This window comes from Homo sapiens, chromosome 2 (genome assembly GCF_000001405.40).
Source record: "Homo sapiens chromosome 2, GRCh38.p14 Primary Assembly".
Taxonomy (NCBI): Eukaryota; Metazoa; Chordata; class Mammalia; order Primates; family Hominidae; genus Homo; species Homo sapiens.
The window spans coordinates 97958963-97974122 of NC_000002.12; the positions used below are offsets into that span (position 1 = coordinate 97958963).

The 15160-nt window shown below is 39.2% G+C and overlaps 1 protein-coding gene across 7 annotated transcripts in view, besides 2 other annotated features; it reads right to left on the bottom strand.

The window, feature by feature from the left end:
* TMEM131 (transmembrane protein 131) overlaps positions 1-15160 on the bottom strand; it is a 239613-nt gene that overhangs the window by 202627 nt on the left and 21826 nt on the right. The gene's annotated exons all lie outside the window — the stretch shown is intronic.
* Positions 4180-4259: an enhancer, noted in NCBI's record as "active region_16248". NCBI's record gives its function as "activates an Ori minimal core promoter by ATAC-STARR-seq in GM12878 lymphoblastoid cells {active_cell/tissue: GM12878}" and the evidence as "EXISTENCE:reporter gene assay evidence [ECO:0000049][PMID:35858748]".
* Positions 7875-7934: an enhancer, noted in NCBI's record as "active region_16249". NCBI's record gives its function as "activates an Ori minimal core promoter by ATAC-STARR-seq in GM12878 lymphoblastoid cells {active_cell/tissue: GM12878}" and the evidence as "EXISTENCE:reporter gene assay evidence [ECO:0000049][PMID:35858748]".

Below are 15160 nucleotides of genomic sequence, written 5' to 3' on the forward strand. Positions count from 1 at the left end.
TCATGGAAGCCAAGAAAGGGCTCAACAGTGTCAAAGACTATCCCACAGAGAAAAGAAGAGGACAGAGGGGCAGAGACTTGAAAATAAGCCACCAGAGTTGGCCAATTGGAAGCCACTGGTAAGTCTTGAGACAGGTTTCTGAGTGGCAGAGAGAAGCCAGACTCTAAAGTAGATGCCTTGGAAAGTCAAGAAAACAGGAGAAGAGAAAGGAGAAGAAAAGCTCTATCTGAAGACTGAAGTAAAGAAACGTGGGGGGAGACACAAACTGAGGTTACAAGAAGGGAGAAATAGAAGGAGCTGACGCTGGAGGGTCTGTTTCAATGAGCTAAGATACAAGGTCATCTGTGTCTCTGGGGAGGTGGGGAAGAGCTGGACAGGTTTGAAGAACCAACTGCTTCAGCCCCATGGTCAAGGCCTGGAAGAGCCACTGTGGTCCTGACTCTCAAACAGGGAAGTATTTTCTTGGCGCACCTTTTACTGTAGAAAAGGTTAACCTACAGAATAGTTAAAACAACTGTATTTATCAGATTTGTTTCAGCACATTCTCCCTTTCTCTCTCTCTCATATATATGAGAAAAAAATATATATATGTCTGCGTGTGTGTGTGTGTGTGTATCTATATATGGTCAAACCATTTGAAAGCAGGCTACAGACACCACAACACTTCCCAGTAAATACTTTCAGCACAGATCCCTTAAGAACAAAGACATTCTCCTACATAATCACAATTTTATTACCACAGCCAACCATTTTAATACTGACATATAACATTTAAAAAATACAGTCGGTATTTAAGTTTCCACCCCAAAATGTCCTTTATAACCTTTTTTTTCAGTCCAGCATCCAATCAAGGATCATGCATTACAGCATTATATTTGGTTGTCACTTTAGTCTCCTTTAAATTACAACAGTCCCCCTCAAAAGTTTTTGTCTTTCATGACATAATTTTTGGAGAATCAAGACCTAGTGTTTTACAGAATATCCCACAATCTTGATTTGCTTTATTGTTTCCTCATGATTAGATTCAGGGCAAATATTTTTGGTAAGAATAATATAGAAATGACATGCAACCCTAACAAGAGACTGATATTTCAATTTGTCACTACTGGTGATATTAAATTGGATCACTTGCTTAATGTAGTATCCACCAGATCTTTGCATCACAAAGATGTATTTTTCCCTTTGTAATAGATAATTCATAAAAAGAATTTTGAGATAGTACACATATACCCAATAATCTTTACCAATAATTTTTAGCATCCATTGACAATTCCTGCCTGAGTCAATGATTACAGTGGCAGTTGTAAAACGGTAACTTTCTAATTCAATCATTCCTTGTACATTTACTAGAAGGCATTCTTTGGTAATGTCATTTTTATTTCCATCCACCTTCTTCATGTTTAAGTATCACTATGGACTCATATTTTCTTCCAATATAACTGATTACTTTTTTTTTTGATGTTCAAAATGTTCCAAATTTGGCCAATGAGAATCCCTTCAAGCCAGTTTTTGTGTTGTTCTAACTTGTTTCCATTAGTCCTGGAGCACATGTTTGCTTTACGACACAAAATGATCCAGTATCATTTTGCAGTTTTCCTGTCTGAGCCTTAGATGGTTTCACTGGTTAATTCTAACAAATGATGCTAAAACGGCTTAAAAGAAATAAGACTAATTCTATAAAAATGATTCAACATTGTAAGAAAAATCCTTCCCAACTCATTTGATGAGACCAGCATTAATCCAACACCAGAAATAAAAATAGCATACAAAAACTAAAACCAACAGACTTCATTAATGCAGACATAAAAAATGCTTAAAGGTGTTTTACCAAATTGAGTCCAGCAATATGTAAAAATGAGTAATATATAACATCCAAACAGAGTTAATACCAGAAAAGCAAGGATGGTTTACATTTTTAAAAAGTAATGTATTTTACCATATTAACATTCTAAAAAAAGAAAAACTAGTTACTTCACCATCTTAATATAGAGAAAAAGAATTTGATAAAATTCACCAATTCATGATGAAAATTACCAGTAAGCCAATAGAAAGAACTTCCTCAGCGATTATGAACACTTATTAAAAACTTACAACTGACATCGTACTTGATGGTCAAAGACTGAATGTTTCCCCCCAAAATTGGGAACAAGGAAAGGAAGCTGTAAACACTATCTAAAAAAAAAAAAGGTGCTATTAGAACAAGTAAGGTTATAGCACGTAAAGTTAATAACAAATATCAATTACATTTCTATATACAAGCACTGAACAATTGAAAAATAAAATAAAATATAATTTCATTGTATTTGGAAAAAATACAATCGGTTGTATACAGAACAAATATCCAATTGTTTGTATACTTGTATACAATATACAATTGTTGTATATGGAAAAAATACAATTCCCTATACAACAGCCTCCAAAAACATGAGAGATAAATACTGTTTAAAGAAATTAAAAAAGATCTAAATAAAGAGATGAATCTTGTTTGGGATTAAAAACTCCATGTTGTTATATCAATTCTCACCAGTTTGATTAGAGTTAATGTGCTCTCAATCAAAATCTCAGGTTGTTGTTGTTTTCGAAATTGACAAGTCTGAAATTTACATGGAAATGGAAGTAACTAAAACAGCCAAAGCAGTTGCAGTATTCATACTGCCTCCCTTTAAAGACTTACTAAAAGACTGCCGTAACCAAGCTAATACAGAACTGACAAAATGATATGTAAATCAACAGAACAGAATTGAAAATCGAAAAACAGACACGCAAATACATGGTCAACTGAGTTTCAATAAAGGTGCCAAAGCAACTCAATGGAGGAAAATGAAAGTCTTTTCATAAATTGTGCTGCAACAGCTGAATATGCAAATGCACTTTAAAAAGTGAACTTACGGGAAATTGTAGGTCAATATTTTAAAAGTCAACAACAACAAAAAGCATGCTTTTGTGTTCTATTCCCTATTGCAATATGCATTATTTACATATTCCCATTATTTGAATACGCAAATAATGAATATTGACTCCCACCTCCTACCATATATAAAAATTAGCTCAGAATGGATTACAGACCTAAATAAACAGCTAAAACTATAATGTTCTAGAGAAACACACAGGAGAAAATTTTTGTGATCTTGTGGTAGGCAAAAATTCTTACAGGATACAGAATATACACAGACCTGTAAATGAAAAAATTGAAAAACTGTACTTCATTAAAATTTAAAATATTTACTCTCAAAAAACGCTGCTTAAAAAATGAAAAGGCTGCCTGGCGCAGTGGCTCACGCCTGTAATCCCAGCACTTTGGGAGGCCGAGGCAGGTGGATCACAAGGTCAGGAGATTGAGACCATCCTGGCCAACAGGGTGAAACTCCATCTCTACTAAAAATACAAAAAAATTAGCCGGGCGTGGTGGCGGGTGTCTGTAGTCCCAGCTACTTGGGAGGCTGAGGCAGGAGAATGGTGTGAACCCGGGAGGTGGAGCTTGCAGTGAGCTGAGATAGCGCCACTGCACTCCAGCCTGGGCAACAGAGTGAGACTCCGTCTCAAAAAAAAACTATAATGAAATACCACTAAGTACCCACTGAAATGACTGACAACATCAAGTGTTGGGGAAAGACATACTGTAAAATCAACTGGAACTCTCACATCCTGCTGGTAATGGTTTGACAGTTTCTTCTGAAGTTAAACATAATCTTACCATACAACTCATCAATCTACTCCCAGGTATTACTTGCGAGAAATGAAAATATTTGTCCACAAAAAAACTTTTACTTAAACCTTCATAAAAGCTTTAATCATAATAGCCCTAAACTTGAAACAACCCAGAAATCTATTAACAGGTAAAAAACTAAATTGTAGTTTACTTAGCAATAAAAAGAAACAAACATGATAAATGTAACGTGAATTTCAAAAGCATTATGCAAACTGAAACAAGTCAAAACAAAAGACTGCATGTAGTATGATTCCATTTATTTACAATTCTAGACCACGCAGCAGCTACAGAAAGTGACAAAAAGCAGAGCAATAGTTGTTGCCTGAGACCAGTGATGAGGAAAAGGCACTGATTGCTAACAGGCACAGGGGAACTTTCTGAGATGATGGAAATGTCCTACATTAAGATGGTGCCATTTTCACAACTGTATGTTTATGAAACTAATCAAAATGCACACTTCAAACTAGTGAATATTACTGTATGCAAATTATACCTCAATAGAGTTGGCTAAAACATAAAGGAAAGAAAAAGAAAGCTGGCACAAGTTTAGTCATGTTCAACCTTACAGCATTGTTTTAAAGTAGGTTATTACCCTGGGCTCTTAATACCCTGAAGGCACATAGATGTCACCTCATTTCTGTCTTTTATTAATTTCTTGTATGTTAAAAGTGGGAGAAAAGGAGCTTTACTAATTTTTGATAGCTTTTTTGTTTCCTTAAGGTCTCAGGAACCAGTCAGCTTTAAGAATTTTTGAGATTGCAGGCCAGGTATGGTGGCTCATGCCTGTAATCCCAGAATTTTGGGAGGCTGAGGTGAGCAGATCACTGGAGGTCAGAAGTTTGTGACCAGCCTGGCCAACATGGCTAAACCCTGTCTCTACTAAAATTACAAAAATTAGCTGTGCTTAGTGGTGGGCACCTGTAATCCCAGCTACTCAGGAGGCTGAGGCAGGAGAACCGCTTGAACCAGGGAGACGGAGGTTGCAGTAAGCGGAGATCGCGCCACTGCATTCCAGCCTGGGTGACAAGAGTGAAAACTCCATCTCAAAAAATAAATAAATACAATAAGAATTTTTGAGATTGCTAGAATAATTTCCCTTTGTTGTTGTTGTTATATATAAGCTAGAATAATTTTATCTTCACTTATAAATCAGATGTTTATACTACATCACATATTTTTAAAAGTTTTTCTTCTATGCAAATGCATAGTGGTAAATTTTTGCTAAAAGTCTGAAATATCTAGATACAGAATGAATTAATATTTGGAAGAATAAGTTAACTTCTCAAATATAAATGTTTTCCAGAATCCAGTTCTAACAGGCTTACATAAAAGTGGCACAGGTATAGTGTACAGTAATATTCTAATACTCCAACCGACTTCCAAGGAAACTGGCAAATCAAGCATTCACATTCCTGAATGTTCTACTAATAGAATGACAGCAATCCCTACACACTTATTACCACATACAGCTGCAGTTAAAGGTCTTTCTCAAGAAATCTCCTATGTCCCCAGACAAAATAATAATAATAAAGGAGACCACCACCTACAAGGTCAAAAATACTGCTGTAATACAATTTAGGAAATTAGGAGAAATGTTAAGGCATTCTACTTTTATACTGGATTTATTCAAGGCTGGTCTCTAATCTCTGTTTCCTTGCAATTTTGCTCATGTCACTTCCTATTACTGAAAATGATATGCAAGCCACATACCTCCTCTTTAGAGTAAATTCAGTTCCACTGCAAACAAATTGCAGGGAAATACAGTTGGGAAAGAAGTCAATGTTTTCCATAATTTCTTTAAAACAGTCAAATAAATATTACAGAGGAAAGCAAAAATCACATGCAACTAAGAATTGGATCTATTTTTATCATATCAAGCTTGTTAAACACACATTTGAAATATACGTCCTTGACTAAGTCAATTCTACTGCAATCAAGATTTTTCCTTAAACCACCTGTTTACTCCCAGACAGAAAAACACATCGAAACAGAAATAACCCAAGTAAAATGTCTAACCATATCTCCTAAATGCTTTCTACATCCTGACACTGTACTATGCAATCTGCATGCACTATTCTTATTTAATTCCAACAAATCCTGGGAAGGAAGATACTAATCTATAAAACAGAAATAAGTTACCAAGCAGTAAATTAATACACACTATTATCAGCAAACTTTGGGAAAACACTGACTCTTGGTCTTTACAACCTCAGTCTCTTCATCTATAAAATATAGATACAATTCTTTTTTGTGGGAAAGAGAGTTTCTAGGGTGCCAGATGAGTTGGTCTCCCCTGTGTGAGACACCCACTGGGAGCCATGGGCGGCCTCTGAGGAGAAAAGTCTCCTTATTGCCTTCATGTCTTTATGCCCCAAGAGCGTAAGAGCTCCGCGGCATGCCACAGGTTGCTCGGGGAAATAACACTCCCTTGAAACAGTGGAGTATAATCAAACATCTTGGTTCCTCTTGAAACCCACTCCCACCCATTTCAGTCCCGGTAAGTTAAAGATCTTAAGCCGTTTAGACACACGCCTTTGCTTGGGGAAATTCACAGAAACCGCCACTGCTATATATCTTATTGAATGACTGACGAGTTCTCCTTCACCGATTAATTCTTTTCCTCATCGCTTCGTACCCCTCCCATCTACCCTAAGAACAAAGAGCTTGTAAACCAATAAATTGGGTGGAGGCTGAGAGTTCCGGGCTGTGAGCAAGCCTCTGACACTCTGGTCCCCTGGACCCACCTTTTAAACTCTTATTCTGTCTCTTTCTAACTCCTTTGTCTCCGCTGGACTCGGGGTACCCGCCAGGTGGTGTGGGGCTGGTTTCTCCAACATTTTTAAAACAGGCACTACTGCATAGATTACCTGGCACATAATAGCTACCACTTACTACCAAGGGCCACGCTGCTAAGCACCAAGTGGACACCAGGAATGATGAATCTGGATGGCTGTGACAAGCCCCATGGCTGGGCACCAATTCATCTAATCTCACAAACAGCACAGATTACTTAAAAATTTCCTAATGAAATTAGGGAATGTGTAATGAAAATTACTGCTCCTAAAAATCTGAAGAAATTCTCCTGTGAATTTAGATTGTGTAAAATTACCTACTCCTAGACAGGCTAACTTCAAAAGCTATTTTCTACCTTTCTTTTGCCTGCCCATGGAGAAGTGATTTAAATGTAACCCTGAAATTCACATAAAGGTAGAACTAGATGGCATTAGTCAATTTTCCTAGGGTGGCTTTTCCTGCTAGAGCTAAAAATTTGAGTAGAAAAAGAACAGTAATGCAAGGATAATTCAGTAAAAGAGAAAGTAAGCAAAGCCTAGAAACAAAAAAATTGAACAAAAGCAATTTTTTAAAAAAAAACTTAAATTGCAAAATTATCAAATTTATTTGCTATCATTTTGACAGGGGTATATTTTTCCCTTGTCATAAAACAAATTTCTATCATGAATATCTAGTATGTTAGAATAATTACTAGAGCTGACAATGCATACACTGAACATGTAAGCCTCACAGGGTAAATCGGCTGTTCTCTGCTCACTGCAACATAACTTAGCAGTAGTTAAACCAGCAAGGTGTCTGGCATTCGACTCAGACAAAATCTTTCCGGGTGGTTAACAGAGTCTGGAAGGGACAATTTCTCCCTAAATTACCTAATACATTACTTTAAAAGAACCCTTTCCTAATTTTTTAAAATTTCTTCCACTCTTCAAATCTTAATTCTTTGAATGTCTTGATCTTAAAAGTATTTTGAGAAACTAAAGAGAACACAATAAATAAAAGGTATAAACTACTTGAGGCCAGGAATCACCCCTTCTTCATCTCTTAGGTTCCAACGACCAATCCAGTGTCTGACACAGTGGCCCTCAATAAATGTTTGTTGAGCTGACTACATGGATTACCTTCAGACTAAGGAGTTGGTCTGGTCCAACTGAAAATAGCTTCAAGTTGGCTCACCTGGGATTACACAAGTAGTCCAGAGTCAAACATAACATGAATATGCAACAAGAGCTAGCACTAATCCAGCACTTACTACATACCAAGCCCTACAGATGATTCAATACTCACACCAACCCTAGAAGACAGGTATTCCTATTATCCCCATTAAACAAATTAGGAAGCTGACACATGAGGACTAGTTAACTTGCTCAAGGTCACAGTCAAGCCCATATTCCAAGTCAGCAGTCTGTTTACTCTCTACACCACTGAGAAAGGTAGCCAGGCAGGTCCCTCATATAAGATGACAAGACTAATCACTTACGAAGACAAGCCCTTGCTTTGACCAAACTTGTTCCAGGGGTGTTCACAGGTGTGAATTCAACCACACCTGCCCACCACCTAAAACAAACAAACAAACAAACAAACAAACGGCACACTTCTTAGATGGGGGCGGTGAGTCAGATGGAACTTATGGAGTATTGTTTTGACTCACCATAAAAGGGAGTTACTCAGATCCAGACCTAATGCCCCATTAGAACTGTCCTCTCTAATTTCATAAGCTGACTGATACACAGGTCTGTGTATACAGTCAACCTAGCTCTCTCCTGTGGCACACACATATTAATATGTACCTTTAATCTTACACTGTAATTGTTTATGCCTGTCTCTAACAAAAAAATTCTTGGAAGCTAATTACTATCTTACTCATAAACATATCCAAGGACCCAGCAGTGTACTGAAAAATATACTGGTTGCATGAAAGATGCACACTGACAGAAAACAGGAAGTGTAACATAAAACAGTACAGTGTGTAAATTTATTCATATGTGACTACAAAATGAAATGTTTATTTATTTAAATTCCCTGGGTACAGACAAATTGTCAGAAAGGAAAGAGAAAAAAAAAAGAGTATAAAGATCACATGGAAATAAGAAATTTAATAAGTAACAAACTGCTTATAATAAAAAACTGTATACTCAACTAATTCGAACGGTGCAATGGAAAATTTTTCAAGAGGGTTGATAGTGGGGGGAGAGAAGATGAAGCTAAATAGATTAAGCATCCTCAAACCAAAAGTTTAACCTCTTCAACATTCCACAGAATACTTTTATTCCCACTTAGTCTAAGAGGAAACAGACTCTCAGGGATAAGTAACTTGTACAAGGTCACAGAGCTAGTAAGCACTAGAGCCTCGATGCTCTTCTTATCATACCATGTTGTCTTCCCATGTAACACATCCTGTTGGGATGTCTTACGCCACTTTTTTTAGGTTGTTTTTTTTTTTGGAGAGGTTTTTTAAGGTGGGAGGCACAGAAGAAAAATCTCAGAACTCTGAGACACAGACACATAACAAGGCTATAATGTCTTACTGCCTAAGACCTCAAAATGAGTTACTTATTCTAAGTAATGCCCTAGTACACTAAGTCCTGTCCCCAGCACCCGACCTATCCTGGCAACCACTTATAACTCAGCATCCATCTGTAGGCCTGTTCACTCCACCACACTGAAAGCTCTTGCAAAGCCAGAATTGTGTCATTATCTTTCTACACCCAGCCTAAGACATGGCACCTACTGAATAAAAATTAACGAATTAATTTGCTGGTGTTCTGTCTAGCCTAGTGACCAGATAAGAACCGAGGAGTGACTACCAGATAAGGGCGCAGAGGGTCTATGTTTCCTTTATTATATATATATTATATATTATGTATATCTCAATGTGGTGTTTTAATATTTTAAGTGTTAACACTTTGAGACACCAACATGAACTTCGGACGTAAACATGGGAATAGTCATGAACCTGCCTGTCAGTGTGTAATTCAACTTTCAACTGAATTGAGACTTACTGAGCACTTGCTGTGTACCACACACATTTCAGACAACACAGTGGGCACTCCTATCTCCCTGCAGTAGGGTCTCGGAAAATGAGTTCTCCCTTTGGAGGGGCAATGTTCAGACAAAAACATAAGTTTCAGGAAGTATGCCAAGCAGTGCTGACATGTTTGTAGGGAAGCCTGCACAAAGCAAGAGTGACTCCCAACATCTCCCACTCATCTGTGCGTAGTGAAGACGAGACCTGGCAAGTTTCCTGGCTCCCATTATCCAGAAGATTATACTCCTTCCCCAACTTCTCATTTGAACCAGTTTGCTAAGGCACATCCTTCCCATCAGAATAAGGATATCGGGCAGGCGCACTGGTTCTTGCCTGTAATCCCAGCACCTTGGGAGGCCAAAGTGGGAGGATGGTTAGAGGTCTGGAGTTCGAGACCAGCCTGGGCAACAGAGTGAAACCTCATCTCTACTAAAGAAAAAAAAAAATTAGCTGGGCCTGGAGGCGCACCTCTAGTCTTAGCTACTTGGGAGGCTAAGATGGGAGGATCACATGAGCCTAGGAGATCGAGGCTGCAGTGAGCCATAATTGTGCCACTCACTGCACTTGAGTATGGGTGACAGAGACAGACTCTGTTTCAAAAAAAAAAAAAGGAAAAGGATATGACAACATTTATGTTAGTTAATTCAGCTGACAAACTAACTCATTTAAGAGCAATTTGTTGATGTATTATGACCACTAGACATGTATAAATTAAGCCTTTTATCTTCAATTGTACAAAAGAGAAGTTACCCTGTACACAGTACATATCATAAGGCCAGCCGCCTAATGATAGGGGCAGGGTAAGGGTGTGTGTGCTTAGACAGACAATTGTTGCTTTAATCACCAGTTTCTTCCAGGCCCTCCACCAAGCTCCCCATGTTTGGGCCCTTCTGCCCCAACACCTCCTTCCCTGACAACTCCCCTCCATTAGTCTGTTACTTCTTTCCTTCTCTAACTCTCTGGCTGCAGACACCTAACTGCCTGTATTATTTATGTTTTCCAAAATATTTCCTTTTCAGATGCTAATTAATGACACCTGCAGGTCTTCTTGGCTATCTAAGAATGATGTATCTTTCTGTGCTAACATTTGTCTTCCCAGGCTACTATTCTAAGGCCTTAGAGTACTTATTCTGCTATGAGTCAAAAACATATCTACACACTATTTGGTGAAGATTATTCCATACATCACTGTACACAAACTGCTCAAATAAAACAAGTTGATGCAATAAAAATCTGCAGGAATAGAACTATGAAACTGAAAGCCACGCATATTCTCCTACAAGTAGCTGATATCTAACCACATGCTCTTACTTTATTAATAAGCAGTGTTTCATACAACACTGGACTTTCTGATGTTACTGTAAAAAATGCAAAATCATCCACTTATCTAAATGTTACTCAGTGCCTTTCACAACGATCTGTCTGATGTGGAGTTGTTCAGGGTCCCAGGAAGGTCAAAGTTAGTCTACCTCTGTGAACCAAGACCCTGGCAACATTCCATTCCATTCCATTCTCCTTGTTGATGAAGAATGACTGTTATAGTACTGCTGAAACACAGAAATGTTTCCAGAAACGTGCTATTGTGAGCCCTAAGTACAAAGCATGAGACACATCTTAAGGTGTATCCACTTGGGAAAATCTGTTTTTCTACTGGAACCAGCATGGATACTGAAACGGAATGCAAAATTTGAATAAATAAAACACAGTACCTTAAAGAAATGGCTACCTCTTTTGGGGATGGCCTTAGACTCCCCTTGGCCCCAAGGAACTGCTCAGTAGGGAGCATAAGGGTATCAAGGCTGATCCAAGAGACAAATGCTCCATGCCTGGTTTCTTTCACTGGAGGCAAGGTGCGGGAGGAGGTAAATAGAGACATAGGCCAAAAGAAACAGTACAGAGAGAGGAGACAAAAGATAGCACGCCTAATCTGCAAACATATCTGAAAACTAACATTTCAAGACCTATGGCAAAGTGCCTAGCAACTCTATTAAGCATGTTTATGCCCACTGTACAGTTGAGAAAGGTCCACAAATAATTTGCCCAAGGACACACACAACAAGTAAATGATAAACCAATACGTGAAGAAAAGCCATCCATTTGCAAAGCCTTGACCTCATCTATTCACCACTCACTCCAGGCACAAACCAGCCTGGTGGAAGAGCAGGTGCTCTGCTGACTGGGCTTCTGGTCCCAGGATTGTGGCCAGAGAAGAGTAACCATCTGGGCCTATTCCTGAAGCAAGGACAAAGTGCTGAGTGCTATGGCCAACTTCTGGTGGTCTGCCATGCTGGACATATCTCATTCACTTTTACCCAGGAGTGTGCAAGTAGAAGCAAGCAGAACGCAGCAGAAGAGAAGGTATTACAAATACCTGCTGGCTTGACTATGTGCTCTGGAACTGGCTCTACTGACCTACTGACACTCAACCATTCTTGGACAAATAAAAGCCGGGTTTGTTTTTAATGTAGCCTATGGTGGGGGGAGTATAAAGAATGATTAAAATTATTATTCACCTTGCACATTAACTTCTGGCTTAAATAAACTACTACTTTAGAATTCTATCAATAATTATTTAAACATATGAAGAAGATGGGAGTCAAATACAATATGAAGACAGTTATGGAAGCAAAAGTGCTAACTTCAGCTCAGAGCTGCTATACATAAATTATTCCATCAAATCAGGTATACATAACCCTTTACAAAGGGCACTGGGTAAAGGTCAGGGAGAAAATCCTGGGCTTTTTCAGAGATCACTGAAATTGCTGACAATGTGGGGGATGACACACTGAAGTCCTGACAGGAAAATAGCACACAAGGAGGTGTTCCACGTGACAAAAGCAACAAAGAACATAAGGCATTAGCTGTGATAAGTGGAGGAAGGGGGGAAAATATACCATTCTTCAATTTTAAAAGAAAAAAAATACTGAAATATAAGACAGTTGATACTGATCTAAAATTACATTTGTGGCTATCAATCAATTTCCCAAGCTTGAAAGTTTCTATACGTTGCCAAATGCAATGGGCTGAGAAATTCTCAAATCAAAACTTTGTGAAATAATCCATAAAGTTTTCTGAATCATACCTGAAATTAAAATAAGCTACTTCTAAATGCTATGTATGACAGACAGGCTATATATAACCAACACATTTTTAAAGTATAGGTTTGTAGTCTCATTGTTTCTAATAATGTCTTACTGTGTGTAGGTTAAAAAGAAAATCCTAATTAGCTGGGCATGGTGGTGCATGCCTATAGTCCCAGCTACTCAGGGGGCTGAGGCAGGAGGATTGCTTGAGCCCCAGAGGTCGAGGCTGCAGTGAGCTGCCATCACACCACTACATTCCAGCCTGGGTGACAGAGCAAGACCCTGTCTTAAAAAAATAAGCAAAATAAAATAAAATCCTATATAGACAATTCTTCACTGTCATCAAAAGAAAGGAGCGGGCACAGTGGCTCACACCTATAATCCCAGCACTTTGAGAGGCCAAGCTGGGTGGATCACTTGAGGTCAGGAGTTTGAGACCAGCATGGCCAACATGGTGAAACCCCATCTCTACTAAAACTACAAAAATTAGCCGGGAGTGGTGCCACATGCCTGTAATCCCAGCTACTCGGGAGGCTGAGGCAGGAGAATCCCTTGAACCTGGGAGGTGAAGGCTGCAGTGAGCCGAGATCTGCCATTTCAGAAACAGAAACACAAGGTCAGAAACAGTGCCTATTTCTGCCAACTGGAAAAATCCAGAACTCATGACATACCAGAGAGACTGCTCAGGAGGGCCTTACCTCAGCTGTGGGGAATAATCAGTCCAAAACTGAACAATGTTCCAGGCCCACCTAACACATCTTAAAAGCAAGACCCCCCAGAAACTGCACTACTCCCACCTGGGTGACAGAATGAGATCCCCTGTTAAAAAAGAAAGAAAAGAAAAAGGAAAGAAAGGAAAGAAAGGGGAGGGAGGGAGGGAGGGGAGGGAGGGAAGGCGGGCGGGAGGGAGGGAAGGCGGGCAGGCAGGCGGGCAGGCAGGCAGGCAGGCAGGCAGTCTTAGGCAGAGACCATTCTAAAAACCATCAATCTGTGGTGGGCAAAATAATAGTCATCAGCCCACTCCAAGACGCCCACATCCTAACCTCGGGATCTTGTGAATATGCCAAATCACATGGCAAAGGGGAATTAAGCTCCCAGATGCAATTAAGGCTCTAATCAGCTGATGTTAAAATAGGGAGGTTATTCTGGGTTACCTAGGTGGGCCCAATGTCCTTAAAAGTGGAAGAGGGAGGCAGAAGAGGGTGACCCAGAGAGAAGGCACATAAGGAGGACTCGGCCCAATGCTGCTGGCTTTGAAGGCAGGGGAAGGGGCTACAAGCCAAGGAATGTAGGTGGCCTCTAGAAGCTGGAAAACTCAAGCCAACAAATTCTCCCCTAGGGCCTTCAGAAAGAAATACAGTCCTACAAACACATATTAAAAAAAATCTTTTTTAATTTTGTGGGTATAGAGTAGGGGCCTACAAACATCTTGATTTTAGCCTGTGAGACTCACTACATACGGACTTCTGATCTCCAGAACCATAAAATAATAAAGTTGTGTTGTTTTTAAGCCACTAAATTTGTGGTTATTTGTTACAGTAACAGCAAAGGGAAACTAATACACCATACTATCTCACATTAATTACCAAAAATTTTCTGTACCAAGAGGTTTAGGAATAACATCTGAAAATAACAATGCCAGTTACACTGTAGAATAATAACTGATGCAGACATATGAACTTCTACTTCTGGGCATGATGTACCCTCCCATCCTGAAGCAACCAGAAACTCACACGAACTGCATTAATTAAATGATCATTTTCAGACCCTAAACATCAGTCAACGAAGGACATGGGAAACAAACAAGGTAAGCCCTATGATTGGCCCAGCTTACTGCCTCAAGGGAGTTACTAGGCCACAGTGCAGGGAGGGGAAACAGTGGTAGAGCTTGGTGGATTTTCCAAATTGATGAGACAAAGCTGAGAGTCCGAGGAAACCAAGGCAATTAGAGTTCATAGAAAAGAATACCAAAATGGAGTGAGCTGCATAGAGAACCCTGGAGAACTACAGAGGGTCCCCATTGAGTCCTCGGTGAAGTACTGATCAGTGCATTTGTGTGAGGTAACTCCCCAACGCTGGGGAAGGAACCATCCAAAAGGATTAGAGGAACAATGCCCACCATTCAAACAGGGTCAGAAACAGTACCTATTTATACCAACTGGAAAAAAATCCAGAACTCATGACATACTGGACAGAGTGCTCAGGAGGGCCTTACCTCAGCTGTGGGGAATAATCAGTCCAAAACTGAACAATGTTCCAGACCCACTTAACACATCTTAAAAGCAAGACATCCCAGAATATCAAACTGTCAAGTAACTTAACTGCATCTTAAAACAAAGCTCAAGAATATTTATGGGAATACAAAAATAGCAGCACCCAACAACGTAAAATTTGCAATATCTGGCATCCAATCAAAGATTATCAGGCACACACAAGAGACAGAAAAACATGACCCAATACGAGAATAATCCATTGAAACCAACCTAGAACTGGCACAGAAGTTAGCAGACAAGACAATAAAACAGGTATTATAAATGTGTTCCATATGTT